Source organism: Homo sapiens, chromosome 2 (genome assembly GCF_000001405.40).
Source record: "Homo sapiens chromosome 2, GRCh38.p14 Primary Assembly".
NCBI classification, from domain to species: domain Eukaryota; kingdom Metazoa; phylum Chordata; class Mammalia; order Primates; family Hominidae; genus Homo; species Homo sapiens.
The window spans coordinates 189746660-189772275 of record NC_000002.12 but is presented as its reverse complement, the minus strand read 5'-3'; the positions used below and the strand labels follow the sequence as shown (position 1 = coordinate 189772275).

The 25616-nt window shown below is 38.2% G+C and overlaps 3 protein-coding genes and 1 long non-coding RNA gene across 47 annotated transcripts in view, besides 2 other annotated features; 2 read left to right on the top strand and 2 right to left on the bottom strand.

Moving 5' to 3' along the window:
• Window positions 1-8417, top strand: part of ORMDL1 (ORMDL sphingolipid biosynthesis regulator 1) — a 20481-nt gene extending 12064 nt beyond the window's left edge. For 5 of the 11 annotated variants that reach the window (NM_001128150.2, NM_016467.5, XM_047446425.1 and 2 more), the window contains one exon: window positions 374-2009. In NM_001128150.2, coding sequence (NP_001121622.1) covers window positions 374-509 — 136 coding nt within the window. In that variant the 3' untranslated portion in view covers window positions 510-2009. Of the gene's footprint in view, window positions 1-373; window positions 2010-4887 lie in introns of those variants that run through there. The other 6 variants (NM_001371385.1, NM_001371386.1, NM_001371387.1 and 3 more) reach the window with 4 other exon arrangements.
• On the bottom strand, window positions 6720-9496 carry OSGEPL1-AS1 (OSGEPL1 antisense RNA 1). Its single transcript, NR_102429.1, has 2 exons — window positions 9284-9496; window positions 6720-7421 (listed from the first exon to the last, which is right to left on the bottom strand). It is a non-coding gene; the product is annotated as an OSGEPL1 antisense RNA 1 (long non-coding RNA).
• Window positions 8809-9555: an enhancer, noted in NCBI's record as "H3K27ac hESC enhancer chr2:190627447-190628193 (GRCh37/hg19 assembly coordinates)". NCBI's record gives its function as "activates a minimal SCP1, AML or CMV promoter by ChIP-STARR-seq in primed H9 embryonic stem cells {active_cell/tissue: H9 hESC(primed)}" and the evidence as "EXISTENCE:reporter gene assay evidence [ECO:0000049][PMID:30033119]".
• On the top strand, window positions 9078-25616 carry OSGEPL1 (O-sialoglycoprotein endopeptidase like 1). Of its 29 annotated transcripts, none has more exons than XR_002959323.2 (10): window positions 9079-9111; window positions 10616-10856; window positions 16716-17103; window positions 17931-18135; window positions 18212-18360; window positions 19297-19427; window positions 19552-19623; window positions 21620-21726; window positions 24195-24341; window positions 25108-25616. XR_002959323.2 is itself a non-coding variant. In NM_001376101.1 (10 exons), the coding sequence occupies exons 4-9, from the start codon at window positions 17092-17094 to the stop codon at window positions 21696-21698; spliced, it is 648 nt and encodes a 215-aa protein (NP_001363030.1). In that variant the 5' UTR covers window positions 9484-9591; window positions 10616-10856; window positions 16716-16896; window positions 16994-17091; the 3' UTR covers window positions 21699-21726; window positions 24945-25616. The 29 variants fall into 29 exon arrangements, 25 of the variants coding, with proteins under 25 accessions (XP_024308808.1, NP_001341276.2, XP_024308809.1 ...); NR_164768.1 differs by lacking the exon at window positions 9079-9111 and adding an exon at window positions 9484-9591; NM_001376101.1 differs by lacking the exons at window positions 9079-9111; window positions 24195-24341 and adding an exon at window positions 9484-9591 and having other exon boundaries at window positions 16716-16896; window positions 16994-17103; window positions 24945-25616.
• Window positions 9217-25616, bottom strand: part of ANKAR (ankyrin and armadillo repeat containing) — an 88390-nt gene continuing 71990 nt past the window's right edge. For 3 of the 6 annotated variants that reach the window (XM_011510677.3, XM_011510682.3, XM_047443451.1), the window contains one exon: window positions 10957-11178. In XM_011510677.3, coding sequence (XP_011508979.1) covers window positions 11150-11178 — 29 coding nt within the window. In that variant the 3' untranslated portion in view covers window positions 10957-11149. Of the gene's footprint in view, window positions 9516-10956; window positions 11179-17007; window positions 17095-25616 lie in introns of those variants that run through there. The other 3 variants (XM_011510676.3, XM_011510681.2, XM_017003413.2) reach the window with 3 other exon arrangements.
• Window positions 9842-10001: an enhancer, noted in NCBI's record as "active region_16853". NCBI's record gives its function as "activates an Ori minimal core promoter by ATAC-STARR-seq in GM12878 lymphoblastoid cells {active_cell/tissue: GM12878}" and the evidence as "EXISTENCE:reporter gene assay evidence [ECO:0000049][PMID:35858748]".

Genomic DNA, 25616 nt, shown 5'->3' with positions numbered 1-25616 from the left:
GAATAAGATGAATGCTTTGAATCCATATCTTTTTCAGAAACATACATGGAAATACAGAACTACACCTGTAATTACAGAGGGCATATGAACCCTAGTTTGATAAGCCTTGCTTTAAAGGATGCAGTGTGTTCTATTAAATGTATTTAATACAATTGCAGAAATGGAAAATGTGGACCTCCATTAAACAAATTTTTTAGTTCCTAATGAGATAAACTTGGGACCAAACCGATTCCTCTTGTTTTAGTGCTCAAAAATAGTTTCATTTTTAGGTATTTATGCTTTAGTGGCCTTTTTTTCTACCTTTAAAATTGTTTAAGTTCCAAGTAATTTTATTTTTGGATGTTATATATATTCTTAACTTTTATCTCTACAGATATTTTCTGGCAAGTTTCTATACGAAGTATGATCCAACTCACTTCATCCTAAACACAGCTTCTCTCCTGAGTGTACTAATTCCCAAAATGCCACAACTACATGGTGTTCGGATCTTTGGAATTAATAAGTATTGAAATGTTTTGAAACTGAAAAAAAATTTTACAGCTACTGAATTTCTTATAAGGAAGGAGTGGTTAGTAAACTGCACTGTTTCTGTGATAATGTGAAATGAGAAGTATTTACATTGGAGGGCCAATGGCTGGTCCTTCAAGTGCTGTTTTGAAGTGCAGATTTCCATTAAATGATGCCTCTGTTTAATACACCTGGTACATTTCTGAAGAGGGGCTTTATAAGCAGGCTGGGCAGGCCCAGCTTATAAGTTAAAGGGCATCACAGTGAGGGTGTAGTAGATAAATTCAAGGAAATAAGAGATTTGTAAGAAACTAGGACCAGCTTAACTTATAATGAATGGGCATTGTGTTAAGAAAAGAACATTTCCAGTCATTCAGCTGTGGTTATTTAAAGCAGACTTACATGTAAACCGGAATCCTCTCTATACAAGTTTATTAAAGATTATTTTTATTACCGTACATATTTCTCGTTTTATGTAAGCGGATGTATATCCTCTTGTTTTATACAAGCCAGTTCCCACTTATGAGGGTACTTTTTTGGTTTTGCTGGCTTAATATTGTGTATTGGTCAATGAGGCCATTTTTACATTTATTACGTTACAGAGTTCATGGAGGTTCACCTTTGTGACTGATTGGTGATAAAAGATAGCCAAGTGTCTTACAAGCAGCTTCTGAGTCAAGTGTTCTAATTTTGGAACAAAGCAGGTTTTACTGCTTTTCCAGACACAAGGCTGCTAAACCAATTAAGAAAATAATTAATTTCTTTCAAGCAACTAAAAAATATATGGTAATTTAAAGGTGTCTGCTTATTTGGTTGAACAATTTAATTGGGAAAGTTTGTCATCATTTGAAAAAGGAAATATAAAAGGAACAACCATATAGCCAACCTGTGGTCTGGCAGAAACAACGTCTCTAGCAATAGTACCAAAGTAAGTAATGGAGTCTTTTTTTTGGCAGGTCTGCAGTAAAAGATAACATTTTCTTTTCTTAGTCCTCCTGCTCTCAACCCCCATATTTTGCCTTTGAATACGTGGGTTTTAGTATATATAGCCCAAAATGGTAACTGTCTCCAGAACAGCAACCACATTGAATTCTTGTGACTTAGGAAAGCTTCTTATAGTTGCTGACATTAATTGCAAGAAATAACTATATACTACTTTGAGAAGTAAACATGTCAAAAAAAACAAAGTTCAGATATGGGACAAAATTTAAAAATTCAGTAACATTTATAAACAGAATTGAATGAAAAGAGTTACAGACCAACTTAAACATCAATTCGTGTCAGTAAACTGACTTTTGGGGGTAATGATCATTGTTTTGTATCTCAAAAGTATTGAGTTTAGAAATCAGTTGTATGATACTACCTTTGTATGTCTGTCTTTTCCCGTGTATTTTTAAATAACTGGTGATCTATAATTTAATAAAATTTTTCGTTGGTGTAATATTATTTCAAAAGCCCTCCAAATTTAGTCATCAAAATTAAAATGACATTTTTCAAGTTTATTTTTAAGCAACTGAATTCGTAAAATTAAAGTAACAAAAAGCATTCATTTTTCTTTATTTTAAAGTTCCTCTCAAAAGGCTTACATTTTTTTAACATACTTCAGAGATAGAAGTCTCCCTCTTAGACATGCTTTCTTCACTGCTTTCTCCCGTCAATGTTTTAAAAATATTTACTCAGTAGATATTTGAAGGGCCCACTCTGTAACAGGAATTATGTTAGGTATTGAGGATAGTTTGTAGACAAGAAAAACCAACTCCCTTCCCTTTGGTGCCTACATTCCAGTTTAAAACAAAATCTAAAAATGACTATTACTTGGAACAAAATAAATTGCCATGCCATAAATGCTCCTGACTTCAAGTCAGGAGACATAATGGCAATTTCTAAGGAGTCATGAGCTTAGAAATGCCACAAATTTTAGCATTCATTGGTGGATCTTTCTTGCAGCAATTACTATTGTGGAGTTCTAGTGATGATTTTCTGTTTCCCTTATTCTATAATTATTTATTAGAATCTTTTTATAAGGAAGATTTGTCCCTTCTTTATTTACTTATTAAATCACTTATACTCTGGGCTTATGGATATTTCATTCTTTGGGTTATAATCCATTATTATGATTTGTTGCTCAAATTGTCCTCCAGCTTTGACCATTAGGAGCTCTTACAAGCTGACTGCTGTGTCCCTTTGACCTGCCCCCATCCTTTTTCTAGGTTTATGGTGTTATTGTCTATTGAATTATAAAGATCCTAAGAGGCATAATAATATCTCCTTCACTAATACCTATATGAATTAGCTTATAGAGCTATATGAGGCTAAGTTAGAGAAGCCCTTAGACACCATGTAATTCAACCCCCTGCCTTAACTTTTTTTTTTTGAGATGGCTGGAGCCGGGTTTTTTTTGTCGCCCAGGCTGGAGTGCAGTGGCGTGATCCCGGCTCACTGCAACTTCTGCCTCCTGTGTTCAAGCAATTCTCCTGCCTCAGCCTCCTGAGTAGCTGGGATTATGGGCGTGCACCACCATGCCCAGCTAATTTTGTATTTTTAGTAGAGATGGGATTTCACCATGTTGGTCAGGCTGGTCTCAAACTCCTGACCTCAAGTGATCTGCCCGCTTCAACCTCATGTTGGTCAGGCTGGGATTACAGGCATGAGCCAACATGCCGGGCCCCCTACCTTAGCTTGAATCTTTATTAATTACCACCCTTCCATTTAGTTCTGTTTTAATAATAATATTAATAGAAGAGGACTTATAAGACAGTATATTCTATTTTTGTAATAGAATTTACAATTTGTTGTATATCGAGTCAAAAATCTAATCTTTACATAACTCTTCAAGTATTTAAAGATAACTTTTAAATTGGTGTCAACAGCATGGAATAAATATTACTAGAGCCTTCACCATTTTCCATATGATATGGTTTCAGATTTCTCCCACTATCCTGGTAATTCTGCTCTAAGTTCCAGTTTATTACTTATTATATAGCACAAGAGTTAAATACAAGAGGTGATCAGATATGCTGTGAAAGAGTACCACTTCCCCTGTTCTGGATGCTTTTTTTTAATGCTGCCTAATACCACTTTAGTTTTTTATTTTGACAACCACATATCACTGATTCACTTTATGTCACTAAAACCTTAAATCTTCAATATGTAGTGCTGTTAAATTATGGCTTACCCTTCACATATGAAATTGATTTATTAAACCAAACTCTTAAGACATTTTTCCTATAGAACTCCATCTTGTTAGATTTTAGTTTATTGATTCATCTTGTCTAGCTAAAGCTGAATCTTGATTTTCATGCAGTATATTTCTCCTGTGTCTTCTATATCATATATGTCATCAGTAAGTATCACCCAAAAATAGCCTCATGCTAGTCATGAAGAACACAAATGGAGTAACCCAGTGTCAACCAGTGCAATTTAATAGTCTTTCTAACAGGATAGACAGAAAAGAGTAATTCCTAAAACAATAACATGGATAGTACATGTCGATGTGAGCAATGTGAACAAGTTCAGTACTGAAAAGACCTATCTAGGTAAAATACCCTAAAAGGAGGTTTGGAGTAGTGCAGCGCAGGGAAGGGGAAGGTAAGTAGAATAGCAGAGATAAACTCTCCTTTGTTGTGTCAAAAAGAAAAGAATGAGATGTATCACATTTTTATTTTACTGCCTAATTTCAGTTCCAGGTAAAAAAGATCCAGTGATGTAGCAAGTAGTTTGTTATGTTGGGTTTAAAAATTTTCATATAGCTACAAATGAATGCATGAGAATTATAAGCATCAAAGTCAGAATCCTGAATGTATCAAGTATATAGGACACAGGGCTTCAACTGTATTGGATGATTTTATCTCAAGTTGAATGTTGGCCTCACAGAAGTTGTTTATAGTATTTAATTTTTTCAAAATCTGAAATATTTCATAATTAGAAAAATAGTAAAAAAAGTTGGGTTTTCAGTGTAGCACTGTAATTTATTTCATTTCTTGACTAATTATTCAAGCCCTTGATAAACAATGGTTATGGGATGACTTACGTGTAGCTCTCAAGTTCTAAATAATGTTAAGTTTAGCAGATAAGGCAGTTTATCACAGTGTCCGTTCACTCAGACAGCATAAGTATGTGTTGATAAAATAATCTTAAATACAAGAACTTTAGTAAAGAAATAAGCCACTTCATTAACATTGTAAAATAGTTTTAAGATATAAAGTATGAAAGGAATTTTACAGTGTATAAATTTTCTGACTTTCCAATTAGCAATTATAAATTTTTATTGACAATCTTATTTTGAAAACCCCGGAGTTTTCAAATATTCTGCATTTATGTTGACCATTTTACCAAGATGATAAAACATGCATTATTTTCTCCATTTTATAATTTTTACAGGGGGAACAGCGAAGCCAGATGATTTATTAGTTATTGCCGGTGAAAATACAGAGATCCTTTGAAACATTTGTCTCTCCTAGAATTCTCATCAAACCATATGCTTCTAACACAGCACTTAACAGTCATGGGGAGTATGTGGGAATAACAGAGACTCGCTTCCCTGCCAAAACCACACATAGACCCACACACTTGAAAAATAAGGAAATAAGATCATCTGAGTATGGAGATTCCTCAAAAATTAAAATTATATCCAGCAATTCCACTTCCGGGTATATACCCAAAAGAAGTAAAAGCAGGAACTTGGACAGATAATTTGTACATCTATGTTCACAGCAGCAGCATTCACAATAGCCAGAAGGTGGAAGCAATCCAAGTGTCCATCAAGGGATGAATGGTTAAAAGAAATGTGACATATACACACAATGGAATATTACTCAGCCTTAAAAAGGAGGAAACTTCTGATATATATTACATCTTGGATGAATCTTGAAGACTTTATGATAGGTGAAATAAGTCAGTCACAAAATGACAAATACTGTGTTACCCCACTTTTATGAACTCCTAGAATAATCAAATTTAAAGTGGAATGGTGGTTGCCAAGGGCTGGAAGGCAGAAGGAATGGGAGCTTATTGGTTCTTGTTTTTGTTTTGTTTTTTTTTTTTTGAGACGGGAGTCTCCTTCTGTTGCCTAGGCTGGAGTGCAGTGGTGCAATCCCAGCTCACTGCAACGTCTGCCTCCCAGGTTCAAGTGATTCTCATGCCTCAGCCTCCCACGTAGCTGGGATTACAGGCATTCATCACCACAACCAGCTAATTTTTGTATTCTTAGTAGAGATGGCCATCATGTTGGCCAGGCTGGTCTCGAACTCCTGACTCCAGGTAATCCGCCCACCTCAGCCTCCCAAAGTGCTGGGATTACAGGCGCGAGCCACTGTGCCCGGCTGGGAGCTTATTGTTTAATGGGTACAGAATTTCAGTTTGAGAAGATGAAAAGGTTCTGGAGCTAGATGGTAGTCATAGTTGCATAGCAATGTGAATGTACTTAGTTCCTTTGAACTTAAAAATGGTCAAAATGGTAAATTGTTATGTAAATTCTACCACAATAAAGTTCAGAAAAGTTAATTTGTAAAATAAGCATAATGGTTCAGCAAACAAAACCCAAAATATCTTCCAAAGACCTGATTGACAGTATTACCACTAATGAAAGAACGTTCCACATCAAGAGATACTGGTCAGCAAAGAAAATTTAAGAGGAGAAAGGATGGGCTGGGCGTGGTGGCTCACGCCTGTAATCCCAGCACTTTGGGAGGCCGAGGCAGGTGGATCACGAGGTCAAGAGATGGAGACCATCCTGGCCAACATGGTGAAACCCCGTCTCTACTAAAAATACAAAAATTAGCTGGGCGTGGTGGCGTGCACCTGTAGTCCCAGCTACTCAGGAGGCTGGGGCAGGAGAATCGCTTGAACCCGGGAGGCAGAGGTTGTAGTGAGCCAACCTCACACCAATTGCAATCCAGACGTCGTCTCAAAAAAAAAAAAAAAAAAAAAATGGAGAAAGTAAAATGGCAATGTATTTTTAGCACTAGCCAAGTCAAAGAATGTAAGACAATGTGACTCAAGTGGAAAGGGCTGCATCAGGCTTGAAATACTAGCCATTAAAAGCACCACACACATTTCTATTGTTTCTGTTCTGTATTTACCAAGCAATCTTCTGATTATAATTTGGATTTAGCCTTCATTGTAATTTGGTCAATACAAGGAAGATAATGACCAGCAAACTCAACTATCCTAGCTTCCCCATAATTGTGTTTCTCATAAATAATACATTAGTATTAATGGCTTTTACACAGCATTTTATTAGCAGTTTGTGGTGGGTAACTCAGTACTCCAGAGTCCAGTCACTTCCAGACCTGATAAACCAATTTCAAGCCTATAAAAGAATCAGATATTGAAACTCAAGTAATCACACTATGGGCCTGCCAGGCTGGCATACATCTGTGGCACGCCAATGTGGCTTTTCCCAAGCAATACCCCTCTCTGAATGCAGTTTCCATTCACATTTCCATAATTCTGTACTGCATTTTGTCTTCTGCCTGTAGACTCAGATTCTTGAGAACAGAGAATGGACCTTATCTGTATCCTTATACTAATAAAGTTCCTAGCATAAAGGAAATAACCCAATAAATATGTAACAAATGAAAATAAAACCTAACCTAGTAGGACATAATTAGGAAATAAATATTGAAAAATAGGATTTGGGCCAGGCGTGGTGGCTCATGCCTGTAATCCCAGCACTTTGGGAAGCTGAGGCAGGTGGATCACGAGGTCAGGAGTTCAAAACCAGCCTGGCCAACATAGTGAAATGTCATCTCTACTAAAAATACAAAAATTAACTGGGAATGGTGGCAGGCACCTGTAGTCCCAGCTACTCGGAAGGCTGAGGCAGGAGAATCGCTTGAACCCCGGAGGTGGAGGTTGTAGTGAGCTGAGATGGCACCACTGCACTCCAGCCTGGCAACAGAGTGAGACTCCATCTAAAAAAAAAAAGAAAGATTCTTATATGTTTTAATATATAATATGTATTAATAATAAAATTTTCCTCTGAAGGCTACAAATGGAAAGCTAGACACACAATATCTGAGACCAAATAAGCATATCTAGATTCAGCTGGAACTCTCGATTTATGTTGAACTTACATAGGCCATATTTTTTGAGAATGCCCATGAGTGGCATTCTAACTATCTGCATAAAAGTACAGACAGGCCTCAGAGAGCATACATGCCTTTCCCCCAATAACCCTCTCCTATGTTACAATAGAGAACATAAAAAATGTATATCTTTGCTAAATACATGGGACTTGTATAAGTGCCACTTTACATATATTCGGTCAAGGGAAAGATAAAATTCCATACTAATGTGCCCTAGAGTTCTCCTGTTTCACATAATAACAGCATTCGGACTCAACACTGGCCAAGAGTGCCTAGACGAGGAATCTACCAATGATAGCACACACAATAGGATCTTGCTTGTCTTGACAGCACAGAAGAGCATTGGGATATACTTGCTGAACATAATTGGAATTGTAAGAAAAATAATACCTGATGTGAAAGGTTTTATGTTCAAACTGGATTCCAGTGTATAACAGAAATAAGCTCTGACCTCTCTAACCGTATGACTAATTTTTCTTAACTTTTAGGTTTTAATTTTTCTTTTTTCCCTTGTTTAGGCCAACAGTGCACCCTAGAGAAAATGTGAGTTATTTTCTCTTCTAGCAGTTAAGAAAACAGACTCCAGTGCCAGATGTCCTGACTTCTAATCCTAGCTTTGCTTTTCCTAGTTGTGTGACCTCCAAAGCACCCAAACTCTGTGGCCCAGTTGCCTGTAAAATGAGGACAGAAACTATTTCATGGGATTTTGAAAGAAATTAATCTACAGCAGGTGCCTGGTACATAGTGCCACTTTATCATTATTGTTACACATAAATGAAATTTTTGAAAAACATAAGTTCCAAATAAAAAACCTCAACCATATTCTGGTAATTATTTACTTATTTATCTGTATCCACCTCTAGACTGTACTCTGTGGCTTCCCAACATGTTGTTATGGGATTTACTCATCTTTTATACCCAGAGCTTCACAACGTGCAAAGTGCAGGTATATATGCCAGCCCTGTACAACAGTGGATTCTAAGGTCCTTGCTTACTAAAATCTTAAATACCAGCAGGGGAAAAGCCTGACTCTTGGAATAAATCTGTCCAATGTTCAAAACAAAGTTCACAAACCAATAAAAGAAAAAAAAAAAAAAAAGCAGGTGCAAGACTTTGAAAACATACCATGCTGAATTTCATGTACATAGTAAGGAAGGACAACATAATGCATTATGAAAATAGGATGGTTTAAGGCAACTGAATATTTACCACAGCCTTTTTTTTTTTTTTTTTTTTTTTTTTGAGACAGAGTCTCGCTCTGTAGCTCAGGCTGGAGTGCAGTGGCGCGATCTCGGCTCACTGCTACCTCCGCCTCCCGGGTCCCAGTTCAAGCAGTTCTCCTGCCTCAGTCTCCCGATTTTTTTTTTTTTTAATTGTAAAAATAAGCCAGCCCCTTTCTTCCTAGTGAAGTGGGAGAAACGGTTTACACTGTCCGATGAGAAACACTTCCGTTCTTTGGTAACCCTGCTAGGGGGCGCCGCTAGATTCCATCCTATTTCTCCGATGAAAGTATCAGGTACCTCACCCCTAAGTTTAGATTTGATGATAGTTCCCTTAAAAATGAATGACGAATAATCTACCCCATCCTTTTCTCACAGTAGCAACCAAATTCCAGCCAAGGGCAAAAAAAAAATTTCTTTTTAATGTAGCTTAGTGTTTGGAACTTGATGTTGTGTAGTCAGACAAACCTGTATTCGGCCTCCGCTGGATCAGTCACTAGCTGTGTAATTTTACAGAACTCTCATCACCTGCAAATCTGGGGGAAATGCAGGTGCGCACAGAGAGCGTTTTGGGCAAAGACGGCCTTTAAGCTTTTCTTCACTAAGCATGCCGCTCGCTAGCGGAACAGCAGCCAGCTCTGGACGGGACCTTGCACAGTTCCGATGACATCACTTCCGGGCGCCAGGTTCGGGCTTTCTCCTGCAGCGATAAGGGCAGTCGACAGTCTTTAGTAGGGAAAGGAGACAAGTGCTAGCTACTGCCGCCCAAGTGGAAGGTGGGTGAAATTGCTCACTCTTCACCCCACTGACGCTTTTGCGCACCTGGAAAAGCGGTTCCAGTTTGCGCCCGTCGCCGCCTTACAGCCGACAGGAGACCAGCGCTACCCAAGTCACGTGGGTTCAGCCTGCAGCTTTCTTGGCCCGAAAGGGTAGTGCTTCGTACAATCCTCCTTGTCCAGATTTTGTTAATGCAAATCTAATTCCTCTAGGTTGTGTCTGTCTGGGCTGCACTGCCCGCAACTGCCTTCTGCAAATAGGTCGCTCATCTCTAATCCCTGGGATGCCGTGTCCCTTTAGTGTGGTGGAGAAAGGCCCTGCTTTAACACCCAGAAAGTTTTAGAACGGATGATCTGGGGGCATAAAATTAGGTGCTTCGCAGTGTGAAAATACTAGTGTGCTTTAGTGATGGGCTGCTATTATTTTGGGGGAAAAGGATTTGGGAAGATCCTTGTTATGACAAAACCTGTAGCAAAAAGTGGAGATTTAATTCCAAAGATTGCAATTAAGGATAAAATAGGTGTTAGGTTGCAGTTGGCGTGTGTGTGTTTATGTTAACTCTTGTTTTTGAACCAAATGATCCAGTTTTATTTTGAAAGATGTTTTTAGGAGATGGAATACATTAACAGTATTTTTATCTGTTCCATCTGCCTTTGTTGTTTGATTCTTTTTAGAAAATCCACATTTTGTCTTAATTTTAGCTGTCAAAAAATAAATAGCACTTTTCAGAGGACTCTATCAATTATTGTACTTTATATTAGCTGTCTTAATAGTAAGTCTTTTGGTAGGAACAGCATGCAAGTAATAATAATACTAAAAAATTTTATATCTGACCCCTGTTTTCCCCCTTGGAGAACATTATATTCATTCATAATATTATTTATATTCCCATGTTGCTATAGCCTTTACAAACTTTTGGTGACTTTTACAAACTTTCCTGTAATTCTGTAAAACTATATATTGAAAAATAAGCTGGCTAATGTCAGTTGCAAATAATAAGTTGTTTCTGTAATTCTTTTTCAGGAATTATCTATAGAGTAAGTATGCTAATCTTGACTAAGACTGCAGGAGTTTTTTTTAAACCATCAAAAAGGAAAGTTTATGAATTTTTAAGAAGTTTTAATTTTCATCCTGGAACACTATTTCTTCATAAAATAGTATTGGGAATTGAAACTAGTTGTGATGATACAGCAGCTGCTGTGGTGGATGAAACTGGAAATGTGTTGGGAGAAGCAATACATTCCCAAACTGAAGTTCATTTAAAGTAAGTAGACATTATCTTAGTCATTTCCACTTTTTTGGAAAAAGTAAAATCATTCTTTTGTATTTGTCATATATAAAAGTTTTCAGGAGCTACTGTCTTATTCCTTTTTGCAAACACTTTTAATAACTGCTATAGAAAACCTCAAACACTTCATCCTGGCTTTTAAGGGTCTTCACAATAAGGTCCCAACCTTAACTAATCCTGTTGCCAAAAGAAACTGAGCTCATTCCCAGCTTCCGTATTTATTGATTTTCCTTCAGTAATGCATTCCTTCTTTTCTCCACTTCTATGTTTCATGGTCTCAGCTGAAGTCCTAGGAAAACTGTTAGTCATTGAAAAAAAAAATCCTATTCATATTTATACATATAACTTGTATTAGTACTTAAATAATAATACACTGTTGTATTAAAGCATAGAATGGTGCAAGGATTATAAACTGTGATGTTTATAGAGGACTACCAGGCAGGTTACCTAAATAAATGGACAAGATAAAAAGTGGAAAATGTCTGGAGGAGGTCACTACTCAGCTCTAGCCAGTTGTCATGTGGGAATGCAGGACCTGTGTTATTAGATTATTATAATTTTCAAGGGAAAATGGAAATCCAGATTTTTTTTTTCTTTTTTTTTGGTGAGACAGAGTCTCACTCTGTCACCAGGCTGGAGTGCAGTGGCATGATCTCGGCTCACTGCAATCTCCGCCTCTCGAGTTCAAACGATTCCCCTGTCTCAGCCTCCCAAGTAGCTGGGATTACAGGCACGTGCCACCACGCCCAGCTGATTTTTTGCATTTTAGTAGAGACGGGGTTTCACCATGTTGGCCAGGATGGTCTCAATCTCCTGACCTCTTGATCCACCTACCTCGGCCTCCCAAAGTGCAGGGATTACAGGCGTGAGACACCGCGCCGGGCTGGAAATCCAGATTGTTAATGTATTTGCAGATTTTTTACATTAGTAGCTAATTTAGAATATATTAAAATACTCTTGGGAGGTGGGGGGCGCCCCCGCCCAGCAGCCGCCCCGTCTGGGAGGTGGGGGCGCCTCTGCCCGGCAGCCGCCCCGTCTTAGGGGTGGGGGCCCCTCCGCCTGGCCGCCACCTCTGGGAAGTGAGGAGCCCCTCTGCCCGGCTGCCACCCCGTCTGGGAGGTGTACCCAACAGTTCATTGAGAACGGGCCATGATGACAATGGCGGTTTTGTCGAATAGAAAAGGGGGAAATGTGGGGAAAAGAAAGAGAGATCAGATTGTTAATATGTCTGTGTAGAAAGAAGTAGACATAGGAGACTCCATTTTGTTCTATACTAAGAAAAATCCTTCTGCCTTGGGATGCTGTTGATCTATAACCTTACCCCCAACCCCGTGCTCTCTGAAACATGTGCTGTGTCAACTCAGGGTTAAATGGATTAAGGGCGGTGCAAGATGTGCTTTGTTAGACAGATGCTTGAAGGCAGCATACTCGTTAAGAGTCATCACCACTCCCTAATCTCAAGTACCCAGGGACATAAACACTGCAGAAGGCCGCAGAGTCCTCTGCCTAGGAAAACCAGAGACCTTTGTTCACATGTTTATCTGCTGACCTTCTCTCCACTATTGTCCTATGGCCCTGCCAAATCCCCCTCTCCGAGAAACACCCAAGAATGATCAATAAATACTAAAAAAATAAATAAATAAATAAATAAGAATAAAATACTCTACAGATGAGTATACCTTTAAGCTATCAATTTACAACATCTGAATAGTGAAAAAGCCTGGTATTTTGGAATCACAGTCCTGTATTTGAATCCTGAATTAAGCACTTGGTATTGGCTCTGTAACTGTAGGCAAGTTCCATATCCTCTCTGATTCTGTTTTCACATCAGTAAAATAGGAAAATTGGCTGGGCGCTGTGGCTCACGCCTGTAATCGCATCACTTTGGGAGGCCGAGGCAAGTGGACCATGAGGTCAGGAGATTGAGACCATCCTGGCTAACATGGTGAAACCCCATCTCTACTAAAAATACAAAAAAAATTAGCCAGGCGTGGTGGCGGACGCCTGTAGTCGCAGCTACTTGGGAGGCTGAGGCAGGAGAATGGCGTGAACCCGGGAGGCGGAGCTTGCAGTGAGCAGAGATCGCGCCATTGGACTCCAGCCCGGGCGACAGAGTGAGAGTCTGTCTCAAAAAAAAAAAAAGGAAAATTAACATCTGCCTCATAGAATTACGGGAGGGTGGCATTAGAAATAATGTATGTAAAGAGGCAGATTGAGCCTCAAACAATAACTATGTGAAAGGGACTGTGTTGGATATTAGTAAGGCACTGTGAAGTACTGCAAAGTCCTTGGTTTAAGGAAGCTTAACTTGATTATGGAGACATGATGTCTAGACCTACAAGGAGAATTAATAGTGCAAGGCAGCATAGCATAAGGAAAAACAAGTGGTGCAGACAGTAACTATTATTACCGTGCCTCAGCTTCACAGTCCTTTCAGTTTTTCCTGAGTGCACTGAACTTTTGAACATGTAAAAGTTAATGGCACAGAAAGGACTACCCTGACCACTTTATCTAAATTAGGTACTCCCATCCTATTTATTCTGTATCATCATACCCTGCATATTTTCTTTGTAATACTTTCACAATTTATACATTTGCTTGTGTATGTATAATCTCTCTCAGTAGAGTCTAAGTGCCAAGGTGACAGGGGCCATGTCTATATTAATCACTATGCTATGCCTAGTGCCTAACACAATGTTTGACACATCACAGGTGTTCAGTGGCCTTTCGTTAGGCCTTCAGTGAATGGAGATGGAAAGAATATTATAACCTGTGTTAGTTCATTCTTGCACTGCTATAACGAAATACCTGAGACTGGGTAATTTATAAAGAAAAGAGGTTTAATTGGTTCGTGTTTCCACAGGCTGTGTAGGAAGCGTGGCAGCATCTGCTTCTGGGGAGGCCCAGGGAGCTTTTACTCATGGCGGAAGGCAAATTGGGAGTAGGCGTCTTACATGGCAGGAGCAGGACCGAGAGAGGGGGGGTGAGGTGCTACACACTTTTTTTTTTCTTTTGAGATGGAGTTTTGCTCTTGTTGCCCAGACCAGAGTGCAATGGTGCAATCTTGGCTCATCACAACCTCCGCCTCCCGGGTTCAAGCGATTCTCCCCCCTCAGCCTTCAGAATAGCTGGGATTATAGGCATGCGCCACCATGCCCAGCTAATTTTGTATTTTTAGTAGAGATGGGGTTTCTCCATGTTGGTCAGGCTGTCTCGAACTCCCGACCTCAAGTGATCCACCCACCTCGGCCTCCCAAAGTGATGGGATTACAGGCGTGAACCACCACTCCCGGCCCACACTTTTAAACAACAAGATCTCATGAGAACTCATTGACTATCGCGACACAGTACCAAGGGGAAAATACGCCCCCATGATGTAGTCATCTCCCACCAGGCCCCATCTTCAACATTGGGAATTACCATTCTACATGAGATTTGGGCAGGGACACAGATCCAAACCATATCACTAAGTGAGCATTGTCAGCAAAGACAAAGAAGTGAGAAAGTACTAGACATTCAGTTTAGCTAGAGCATAGGTCACTTGAGGAGACTACTGGGCAAACAGGCTTCAGTGATACCATCCACCTGGCTCATCTCAGCATTTTTTGAATACCTATAGCTGCCAGGCAATACTTAGGGCATTTGGGATACAAATATAAATGAGACATATGACTCTTGCCTTTGAACAGCTCACCATATAAGTGGGTTAGAGTGTAGGCTTATATTCTGGTTCAGCCATTTACTAGGCTTATATTCTGGTTCAACCATTTACTACATTTGATACTGTGCACAGTTTTTTGTGCCTCAGTTTCCTTATCTGTAAAATGATAATAATGACCACTAACTCAAATTAATGTTGTGAATATTAAGTGTGAATTCCTTTAAAGCTTTTAGGGCATTCTTCTTGAATAGCAAGGGCTGAATACAAGCTAGCTCTTAGTAACAATAGTAGTTCTACTACTACCATCAGTAAAAATGAAGAAGACAGTAAGCAGATCATTGTGAAACAGCATGGAAAATGCAATAATAGAGGATTACTTGGCAGGAGGAGTCCCTTCTTCCAAGCCAGAAACCTGAAGGACACCCTTGACTTCTCCCTCACCATTCCACATCCAAATCAGTCATCCATTCATAGTAAATCCATCTCCCAAATATTTTTTGCAACTTTCCTCTCCCTTCTCACTGACTGAGTTCAATCCCTTATTGTCTTTTGCACAGACTCTTGGCTATAGCTTCAAGCCTCAGTGGTTTCCCTGCCTCTTTGTTAGCTTTGTTCCATAATCCACACTCCATACTGTCTACAAATCATAGACAAAAATACATTGTTATTATTAATTCTTTGAGAATAAAGCCATGTTCTTATTTGGCCCTAGTGTTTAGCATAATCCCTGGAAGATAAAATACACAGAAAAGGCATAGAAAGGAAAGGAGGGAGGCAAGACAGAGAAGGAAGAAATGAGTTGCAGGGAGAGAATTTGGATTTGATGTCTCCCAAATTCCATGAAACTAAAGGTTTTGAGTAGGGGAATAACTGGTAGCATGTGCTTTAGAGTATTCTCTGGCAGCAATATAGGATGGGCTCTAAGGATCAAAGGACAGAGTTAGGAAAGTACAATTAGAAGACTGTTGAACAGACTGAGATGAGGGCTTTTGAGACTTGGCAGTGGGAGTGGTGATAAACTTAAATGCGGAGAGTGAGGGAGAGAAAGGAAGTAAAGATGAACTTTGAAACCCAAGGGTTATTTGATGCCACTAACAAAGATGAGGAATATAAGAGAAAAAGTAGCTTTGAAGAATTAAGGAAAATTATATTACAATGTGGATGTGTTGAAATCAGATCATTTCATTTATATCCCCCTCATTGCCTGAAACAATATTTTAATTACTCAGCAAATATTCATTGAATGCACTTACTGAGGATTTTCATTTCTACACATAGAACTAGTAGATCTTGCAACATCAAATATTGGAAGATGATTTTTTTTTGAAACTAGCAGTGCGTTTTGCAGACTCTATTTTATTGCTCCAGTTCTCATATTGTAAATCAATCACATGGTAGCAAATTTGTTGCTAGCAAATTTGTCTCTTAGTTCTTTACACTTGATATTTGGAGTGGCCATCCACCATCCTACATGGACCAAAAATCCAAATTACAAACTCTGAGCACCAGATTCCCAAACTGTATTTCAGGATTGCAAGCTATCTGCTATCCTGCTGTGACCTCAAGTGGAATGTGTTTTAAAATAAACTCGTCGTCTTTATAAAACTGTCTTCATGTTTCTCTTTTAGAATTTCTTTTCTCCCGGTCATTCCAGCTGAATAGCTGAACAAACTTTGATGCCTTAGTCCCCCTGTCCCTTTATATTCAGTTAGTTATTATAGTTCTTAAGGTTCTCTGTCCCTTTCTTTCCATTCCCACAATCGCCCAGTTTAAGATATAATCATTTTACACAAATACTTTCGCAGTAATCTCTCTTAAAATCTTCTGTCAGCAAGGAAATTAATTTTCCTTAAATACAATTTTTTCCTGTCCTTCCCATGCTCAAAACTTGTATGGAATGCTTTACAAGATTATTTTGGTGATTTCATTTGTCAACAAACAAATCCATGGGAGTCTGTTGTGCATAAACTGAAAAAGTCAGAAACATTATCCCCTTAATTACTGCTTACTGAGTTTTAACCATAGTGTGCTATGTTAGAAGGCACACAATTAGAAAATACTTGACTTACTCAGCTATATAATGATTAACTTGAAGACATGCTTTTAGCTGTAATATCATTTTTCTTCATTTTTACAATCTTAAAACTACAAAATGCTGTCTTTCTTTCTTTCAGAACAGGTGGGATTGTTCCTCCAGCAGCTCAACAGCTTCACAGAGAAAATATTCAACGAATAGTACAAGAAGCTCTTTCTGCCAGTGGAGTCTCTCCAAGTGACCTCTCAGCAATTGCAACTACCATAAAACCAGGACTTGCTTTAAGCCTGGGAGTGGGCTTATCATTTAGCTTACAGCTGGTAGGACAGTTAAAAAAGCCATTCATTCCCATTCATCATATGGAGGCTCATGCACTTACTATTAGGTTGACCAATAAAGTAGAATTTCCTTTTTTAGTTCTTTTGATTTCTGGAGGTCACTGTCTGTTGGCATTAGTTCAAGGAGTTTCAGATTTTCTGCTTCTTGGAAAGTCTTTGGACATAGCACCAGGTGACATGCTTGACAAGGTAATTAAGAATTAATTTCTCCATTCTTTTTTGTTATGTTGTCCATTTCAACTAAGTAGCAATAGATGTGCTACCACCATTCACCTAAATATTTCTGAATTTTATCTTAGTAAACTGAAAAAAATTCACATATGGTGAGAAAAAATAGAAAGAGTAGTACACAATTTTATAATTCTTAGCCTTTCTTAATAAAATGGTAAGAGGTTCATATCTGTACATAAAGGCTGAAATAGTTTGCAGATACAGTTATGTATTTTGCCAAATAATGTATGTGAAAGAACGTGCTTCGTAAACTAACATACTGCAAAAAAGGTAAAATAAGAGAATATATATAGATTAACATAAGGACATTAAAGATGCAATGCACAGAATTAAATCACACAATTACTTACACCACAGACAGGGTCCCCCCCCACCCCCCTTTGTTTTAGAATACTACAGAGGCTACTGCCATATATAGGAAAACAAACAAACAAACAAACAAAACACTGCTTCCCACAGTGAAATAATAGGAAGTATAGGACAAGTTCTTATTATTGACGTTCATCATTAAGCAGTTATTGTCAACTTCAAGCCCATTTTCCAACCAATAGAAGAGCAAACATAGACAGGGGCAGTGATTGGCCTCTTATTGTTCGGGTCATCATAAGGAACAGGGTTGTCTGCTTACCTGAATATCAGCTATAGTCTATATTTGCCAAAGTATAGCATGTTTTATTCATTCAGGGGTTTTTTGTTTTGTTAGTAATTTTCAATTTATTTCCTTTGCATCTTTTCGTTTCACAGTATTTAATTTTATGACTCTAAAAAATATGTTTCTTTGATAGGTGGCAAGAAGACTTTCTTTAATAAAACATCCAGAGTGCTCCACCATGAGTGGTGGGAAAGCCATAGAACATTTGGCCAAACAAGGAAATAGATTTCATTTTGACATCAAACCTCCCTTGCATCATGCTAAAAATTGTGATTTTTCTTTTACTGGACTTCAACACGTTACTGATAAAATAATAATGAAAAAGGAAAAAGAGGAAGGTATATTTCTAATTAGTAAAGTTGAACAGATAAATATTCCTGGATTGTGCCTAAAAATAGCTGCTCATTTCTGCAGGTATTGAGAAGGGGCAAATCCTGTCTTCAGCAGCAGACATTGCTGCCACAGTACAGCACACAATGGCATGTCATCTTGTGAAAAGAACACATCGGGCTATTCTGTTTTGTAAGCAGAGAGACTTGTTACCTCAAAATAATGCAGTACTGGTAAGTTTTATCTCATTTTATAGTAATAGTTACACTTTGCAATATGTTACTTTTTTCCCAAGACCTTGACCTTGTGTTTAGGATGAACAGATCTTTATGCCTTATGCTAGCCCTGACAGTATGAAATTATGCAGGATAGGAAAGACTAACAGCCATTTCTTGTACTAGTTTGGTAGCTTTATGGGACAGCTGTATAGCTTCTATGGCACATAAGTCTAATTTTGCATCTTCTTGTTGGATTTAAAAGAGGGCTTACAATAAAGAAAGTAAATGCAGTAACTGCTATCACTATTTTTAGAAAAATAGGTGGATTTCCTTCATCCTTTGATGAAATCCCTTTGTTTGTTTGTTTTTTTAATAAGCCAGTCAAATTTAGCAGTGGGAGGTGGTATACCAACTTTCGTGACACTAATGTTGATAAAGTTCTGATAATCCACTATATTGTACCAGCCAAAATCCCTTTAATTGTGCTTAAAAGCCTTGACAAACATCCTGTTTAACTGTATCTTAAACTTTATTCATTTAAAAATTATAAACTAAAGTGGGAAAATGTTTAAATGGTAGTAATTCATAGATGGAATTTTACATGGATATCAAAGAATAATTTTTTCAGAGTTATGTAGTAAAATGCACAAAATAATAAAAATTTCAGGGTCTAAAATAGTGTACTATGATTGAAATTATATTAAATAAATATTTAGATGAAAGGTTGGAAGAAAATATACAAAAATGCTAGTAATGTTTGTATGCTATTAGAATTATTAGTAATTTTTTTCTTTCCAAATTTTTATTACATAGATATGTCATCTGCCCATTACCCATCTCAAAATGGGATAGTTTATTATTGTTTAATGCTGATATTTTTCTCCAGGTTTAATTAGCAGCTTGGTTCATATCCATATATGATAGTTATTTTGGTTTTCTCAATTCCTTCAGGTTGCATCTGGTGGTGTCGCAAGTAACTTCTATATCCGCAGAGCTCTGGAAATTTTAACAAATGCAACACAGTGCACTTTGTTGTGTCCTCCTCCCAGACTATGCACTGATAATGGCATTATGATTGCATGGTAAGCCACAGGATATACGTGCTTCACTCATAACTATGTAAATATTAATTGCCATTTTATCATACTAAGCCTTCTTCCTTCAGATCTTGGAGCTATTGATTTTATTTTAATGCTTCTTATTTAGGAATGGTATTGAAAGACTACGTGCTGGCTTGGGCATTTTACATGACATAGAAGGCATCCGCTATGAACCAAAGTATGTGGTATCATTCATGATCTTTATGCAAGTTACATTACTTAAGACAAAGCCTGGATTTTGCCTTTATATATGAGGTTTTCATTGACATTCTGGTGGTACTTGAAGGAAAGTTACATAAATTTCTTTCATGAACCTAGTTAAGGTTGATACCATATGAGAAATATTTTTGCTACAGTATCAAATTATAAAAATCTTGGCAAGTTTAGGTGAGTTAGAAACAGGTCATGAGTAAGGGTGATGAATTCCCTCCTTTGGAACTAGAATGTAAACTATGTCCATGACCTGGACTTTTGCAATGTCAAGAACATCTCAGAACCAGCAAGTATGCTGGGAAATTTAAGGAAAACATGCAGAAAGCATTCAGGTGTGAGAGTGGGTTGTGATTATGCTCTTACACAGGCAGTTGAGAATTGGCCGAAAGATAGCTGTTTCCTGCAAGCCTTATTTCCTCTCCCAAATCAAAGTTCCAGTGAATAGCACAGTTTTTTCTTTACTTTTTTTCTTTTTTTTTTTAGAGTCTTAGTGTCACCCAGGCTAGAGTGCAGTGGCGCATTCTCGGCTCACTGCAACCTCTGCTTCCCATATTCAAGTGATTGTCATGCCTCAGCCTCCTGAGTAGCTGGAATTACAGGTTCACACAGCTGTGCCCAGCTCATTTTTTGTATTTTTAGTTTTTGGGTTTTGCCACATTGGCCAGGCTGGTCTCGAACTCCAGGCCTCAAGTGATCCACCCACCTCGGCCTCCCAAAATGCTGGGATGACAGGTGTGAGCCACCACACCTGGCTGGTTTTTCAAATTACTATCAAATTCTGTTTTAATTCTGGAATAGTAAAAGACAATTATTTTCATAAATAATTATATTTTGAACACTGTTTCATCTGATGTTTTAAAACTTGTCAGCATTGGCCAGGCATGGTGGCTCATGCCTGTAATCCCAGCACTTTGGGAGGCTGAGGTGGGCAGATCATCTGAGGTTAGGAGTTCGAGACCAGCCTGGCCAACATGGTGAAACCCCGTCTCTACTGAAAATACAAAAATTAGCCAGGCGTAGTGGCAGGCACCTGTAATCGCAGCTACTCGGGAGGCTGAGGCAGGAGAATTGCCTGAATCCTCGAGGTGGAGGTTACAGTAAGCCGAGATCACGCCACTGCACTCCAGCCCGGGTGACAGAGTGAGACTCCATCTCAAAAAAAAAAAAAAAAAACACAACTTGTCAGCATTATATTCCGTAACTTGACAGTTGTGCTATATATGAATTACATGTATGCTGATGATGAATGAACTGAATTGAGTTAGTAGTACCGGAAGGCATCCCTTTGATACCTTGTCTCAGATAGAGTATATCCTCTGATTCAGTTATGCCCCCTTGTGGCAGTGTTGAGGCTGGAGATAATGGCTTTTTCCAGGTTGGGATTCAGTCAAAGCAAAGCCTTATCTTGGACACCATGGTAGAAAAGCAGAAATCTGAAGCAAAAATTAGTTACTGAGGAGGAACAGAAAAAGACAGCAGGAACTAAGACCTCTTTGGCTAGTAATGGCAAAGGATGGTAGAAAAGGGGCAAGGCAGCTTTTGAAACTTCAGAGAAGAACCTATAGAAACCTAGGACATTTCTAAAATGTGAATGGATACAGGTTTGACTTTAGCTGTGTGGCAAAAATGTTTTTACCTTTTTAGCTTTGTAGAGAATTATAAGATATTTTTCATTATTTTTATATTTCATTTTATGTTTTTAACTTATTTACAGTATTTGAGAACAGCAAAACTGTTTCTTTCAAAAATATCTCAAAATTTAGATTTCTTATTAATGAGACTAGCTTTCATTATCCTGACTTGAGGTCCCAGTATATTTGTAAGTATTTAAGAATCATCACCACATATGATGAATTAAATATTTGATATTTATACCATCAGAATTCTAAGCAAATAGTCTGCAGAACTAGTGATGGATCATGAAGCAAATAAATAATACGATTTGTCTGCTTATGATGTAGATGTCCTCTTGGAGTAGACATATCAAAAGAAGTTGGAGAAGCTTCCATAAAAGTACCACAATTAAAAATGGAGATATGATTTCTGCTGTTCAAAAAAGTCCCTAAAGGTAGTATTAAGGTTAAAATTAAGTTTTTATTGTTTTGTGTATCAAATTGTAGAAGATATATAATATTAATTATTCATCAAGATTTTATTTTTTTTTTTCTATTTGATGTTTTACCTGCTCTTCTGAGATACTATAATGTGTTAAAAGTCTTACAAGGGAAGATAGTTTTTTTCTTTTAATTATTAAAAACCAAAATAAAACATCTTTTGAGAAAGGAATGTATTGATGCTGGCAGGTAGAAAGGAAGCTTTGAAAGAAGCACAGTAATTTTGCTGAATTCTGGCCCTGTATCATACAGGCCTAGGACTTTCCCCCACTTCCTCAAATCAGGATAGGAGAAGCTATTTTTTAACTCCTACTGAAACAAGAACCTGACTTTATAATGAGAGAGCAGTTTAATTTTTTTTTATCATTATTATTTTTTGGAGATAATCTCCCTCTGTCACCCAGGCTGGATTGCAGTGGCGTGATCTCAGCTTACTGCATGCAACCTCTACCTTCTGGGTTCAAGCGATTCTCCTGCTTCAGCCTCCTGAGTAGCTGGGACTACAGGAGCCCACCACCACGTCTGGCTAATTTTTTGTTTTTTTAGTAGAGATGGGGTTTCACCATGTTGCCCAGGGTGGTCTTGAACTCCTGAGCTCAGGCAATCTGCCTGCCTCAGCCTCCCAAAATGCTGGGATTACAGATGTGCTCAAGAGAGCAATTTTAGATCAGTCATGTCAAAGCAGACATTTCCAAATCAAGACAAAAGCTGACTTTCTCTAACATAATATGTTATTAATTTTAAGAGTTCGTTATTAGGTATCATCTCTGGAGTAAATAGGATGTCTATGCATTTTTTAAAATCTATATAATTTGAGGTTTTACAATTTTAACATATAAGTAATCCCTCAAGTATGTATTGTACGCTTTAGTTGTCCACATACTTTCACATCAGTTATTTGAGAAATTGTATATAATCAGATGGAAATAAATGAGGGAGTTTTTTTGGATTTTTTTTTAATCCAAACTTTGTACTGCAAATATTATAAGCTTATCACTGTTTTTCTGCCTTGATTAAAGTAACTAAATGTACAATTCTTTGAATGTAACCCTCTATATCTGGAGGCCTTTCTCATACATAATTTTTTATTTCGATTTTTATAGACAGCATCTTGCTATGTTGCCCAGGCTGGAGTAGAACTCCTAGGCTCATGTAATCCTCCAACTTCAGCCTCCAGGGCCTGACTTTTCACACATTGTTTAAAAAAAAAAAAACCGTGGAGTAATAAAAATAATCTTTTTTTTTTTTTTTTTTTTTTTAGACAGAGTCTCGCTCTGTTGTCCAGACTGGAGTGCAATGGCTCGATCTCGGCTCACTGCAACCTCCGTCTGCCAGGTTCAAGCAATTCTCCTGTCTCAGCCTCCCGAGTAGCTGGGACTACAGGCAAGCACCACCATGCCCAGCTCATTTTTTGTATTTTTAGTAGAGATGGGGTTTCACCATGCTGGCTAGGCTGGTCTCGAACTCCTGACCATGTGATCCACCCGCCTTGGCCTCCCAAAGTGCTGGGATTACAGGTGTGAGCCATCATGCCCAGCCAATAAAAATAATCTTTATAGGGGAGATTTATAGGAGAAGTAGTATAAATTTTAGGAGTGGTAGGATGGTCTGGCTAGGCCAAGATACTCAGGAAATATCTGGCATTGAATGCAAAGAAACTCTGATAACCTGAAAATAGTCCTAAAGTATAGTCTTGAGCCTACCTGAAACCAGTTTCAGAGCTCAAAAGTTGCTCTCTAAAGGCTTTTAAAAATATCTACAGAAACTTAATATTTCCATTGTTATAAATTCTTATCCTTAATGGTGCTGGATAACACAATTCATCACTTGAATATGTATCCCTTTCTAGTATAAAATAGACCATTTCCCTCCGCATTTCCTATATTTCAGTCAATCCACCAGAAAGTTGTGACTCAGCACCATTAAGATAATTTAGAAGTAAATATGAAGATTAAAGAGGTCTCTTATTTTTTAGTGGTTAAGAACACAAACTTTGCATGGTAGCTCATCCTAATGCTTTGGGAGGCCAAGGGAGGAGGATCACTTGAGGCCAGGAATTCGGGACCAGCCTGGGCAACATAGCAGAGACCTCAGCTTCCTGAGTAGCTAGGGCTACACGCCTGTACCACCACACTCAGCATAACAAAGACTGAGAACCTGTAGCCCTAGCCACTCAGGAGGCTGAGGTGGGATGATTGCTTTGAACCCAGGAGTTATAGGCTACAGTGAGCTATGATTGCACTATTGCCGTCCAACCTGGGTAACAGAGCAAGACCCTGTCTTAAACAGACAAATAAATAAATAATAATTCATTCACCCACTCACTCACCCACTGACTTTGGACTCTAGCACATAGAAAGCCCTAAGTACATATCGGGGAAAATAACCGCTAATTAATATATACTTTCAATGCTTACTGCAGCCCAGGTAGAGAATGGATTATAGCAAGACCCTCAGACTGTATGGAGGCAATTCAGCAAGTGGATGGAGAAAAGGGGAGCTTTAAAGTACACAGTGAAGCCAGGCGCAGTGGCTCATACCTGTAATCCCAGCACTTTGGGAGGCCAAGGTAGGCGGATCACCTGATGTCAGGAGTTCAAGACCAGCCTGGCCAACATGGTGAAACCTCATCTCTACTAAAAATACAAAAATTAGCCAGGTGTGGTGGCAGGCGCCTGTAACCGCAGCTACTCAAGAGGCTGAGGCAGGAGAATTGCCTGAACCCAGGAGGCGGAGTGAGCCAAGATCCTGCCACTGCACTCCAGCCTGGGTGACAGAGCAAGACTCCATCTCGAATAAATAAATAAATAAGTAAGTAAGTAAAATAAAGTACACAGTGAAGCCAGGTGTTTGTATCATATCTATCTGCAGCTATAAAATAGGAGAAGCAGACATTGCTATTTGAGCAAAGACATCATATGGTTCTAAGCCACAAAGACTATTACCCTTTCCAGTTGCAAACCAAAGACACTATAAATATGGAGAATGAGCAACACTGTTAGCCACAAAAGCCATACTCATGTACTTGATGGGCAATGATTTCAGATTTTATTTTTAAATAAAACTTTTTTTCCCTTTTAAAAAATTTTTGTTTTATTTTCTTTTTTAATTTTTCTTTTCTGCTTCATCCACTGACTCTCAGACTTTTTTTTTTTTTTTTTTTTTGAGACAGGGTCTCACTCTCTGACCTCAGCTGGAGTACAGTAGCCAGATCACAACTCACTGCAACCCTGACTTCCTGAACTCAAGCAATCCTCCTGCCTTAGCCTCTTGAATAGCCGGGACTACAGGTGTGCATGTCCATGCCCAGCCAACTTTATTTCTATTTTTTGTAGAGACAGGCTCTTGCCATGTTGCCCGGGCTGGTCCTGAACTGCTGAATTCAAGTGATCCTCCCACCTTGGCCTCCAGAAGTGCTGGGATTATGGGTGTGAGCCACCATGCCTAGCCAAAATGTTTCTTAAGGTATACATTTTGGGTCTTAGAAGACTTATACATTTGTAATATTTATTACTAAATATCTCAAAGTATTACAATAAATGTTACCATGTGAGCTACTTTGAATCAGGCTTCTTGCACACCAATTTAAAAATGTTAACTCTTGATATATACACTAGTTATACCACTCATGTCAGTCAATAAATTTTAAGGTTTAAGTGCAGGCCTTTGTTTACAGAAATCCTAATTTTTTGAAACCATAACTCTGACCTGACACTAAATTCCTGTAGACATGCTAAGGAAAATCTGCTTAGTATCGAGATCAAGAACTTTCATTCAAAAAGATTATTCAGTTATGTTATTTGCATATTACCATTATTAAAAATAAAAAAATTTTTAAAAGATG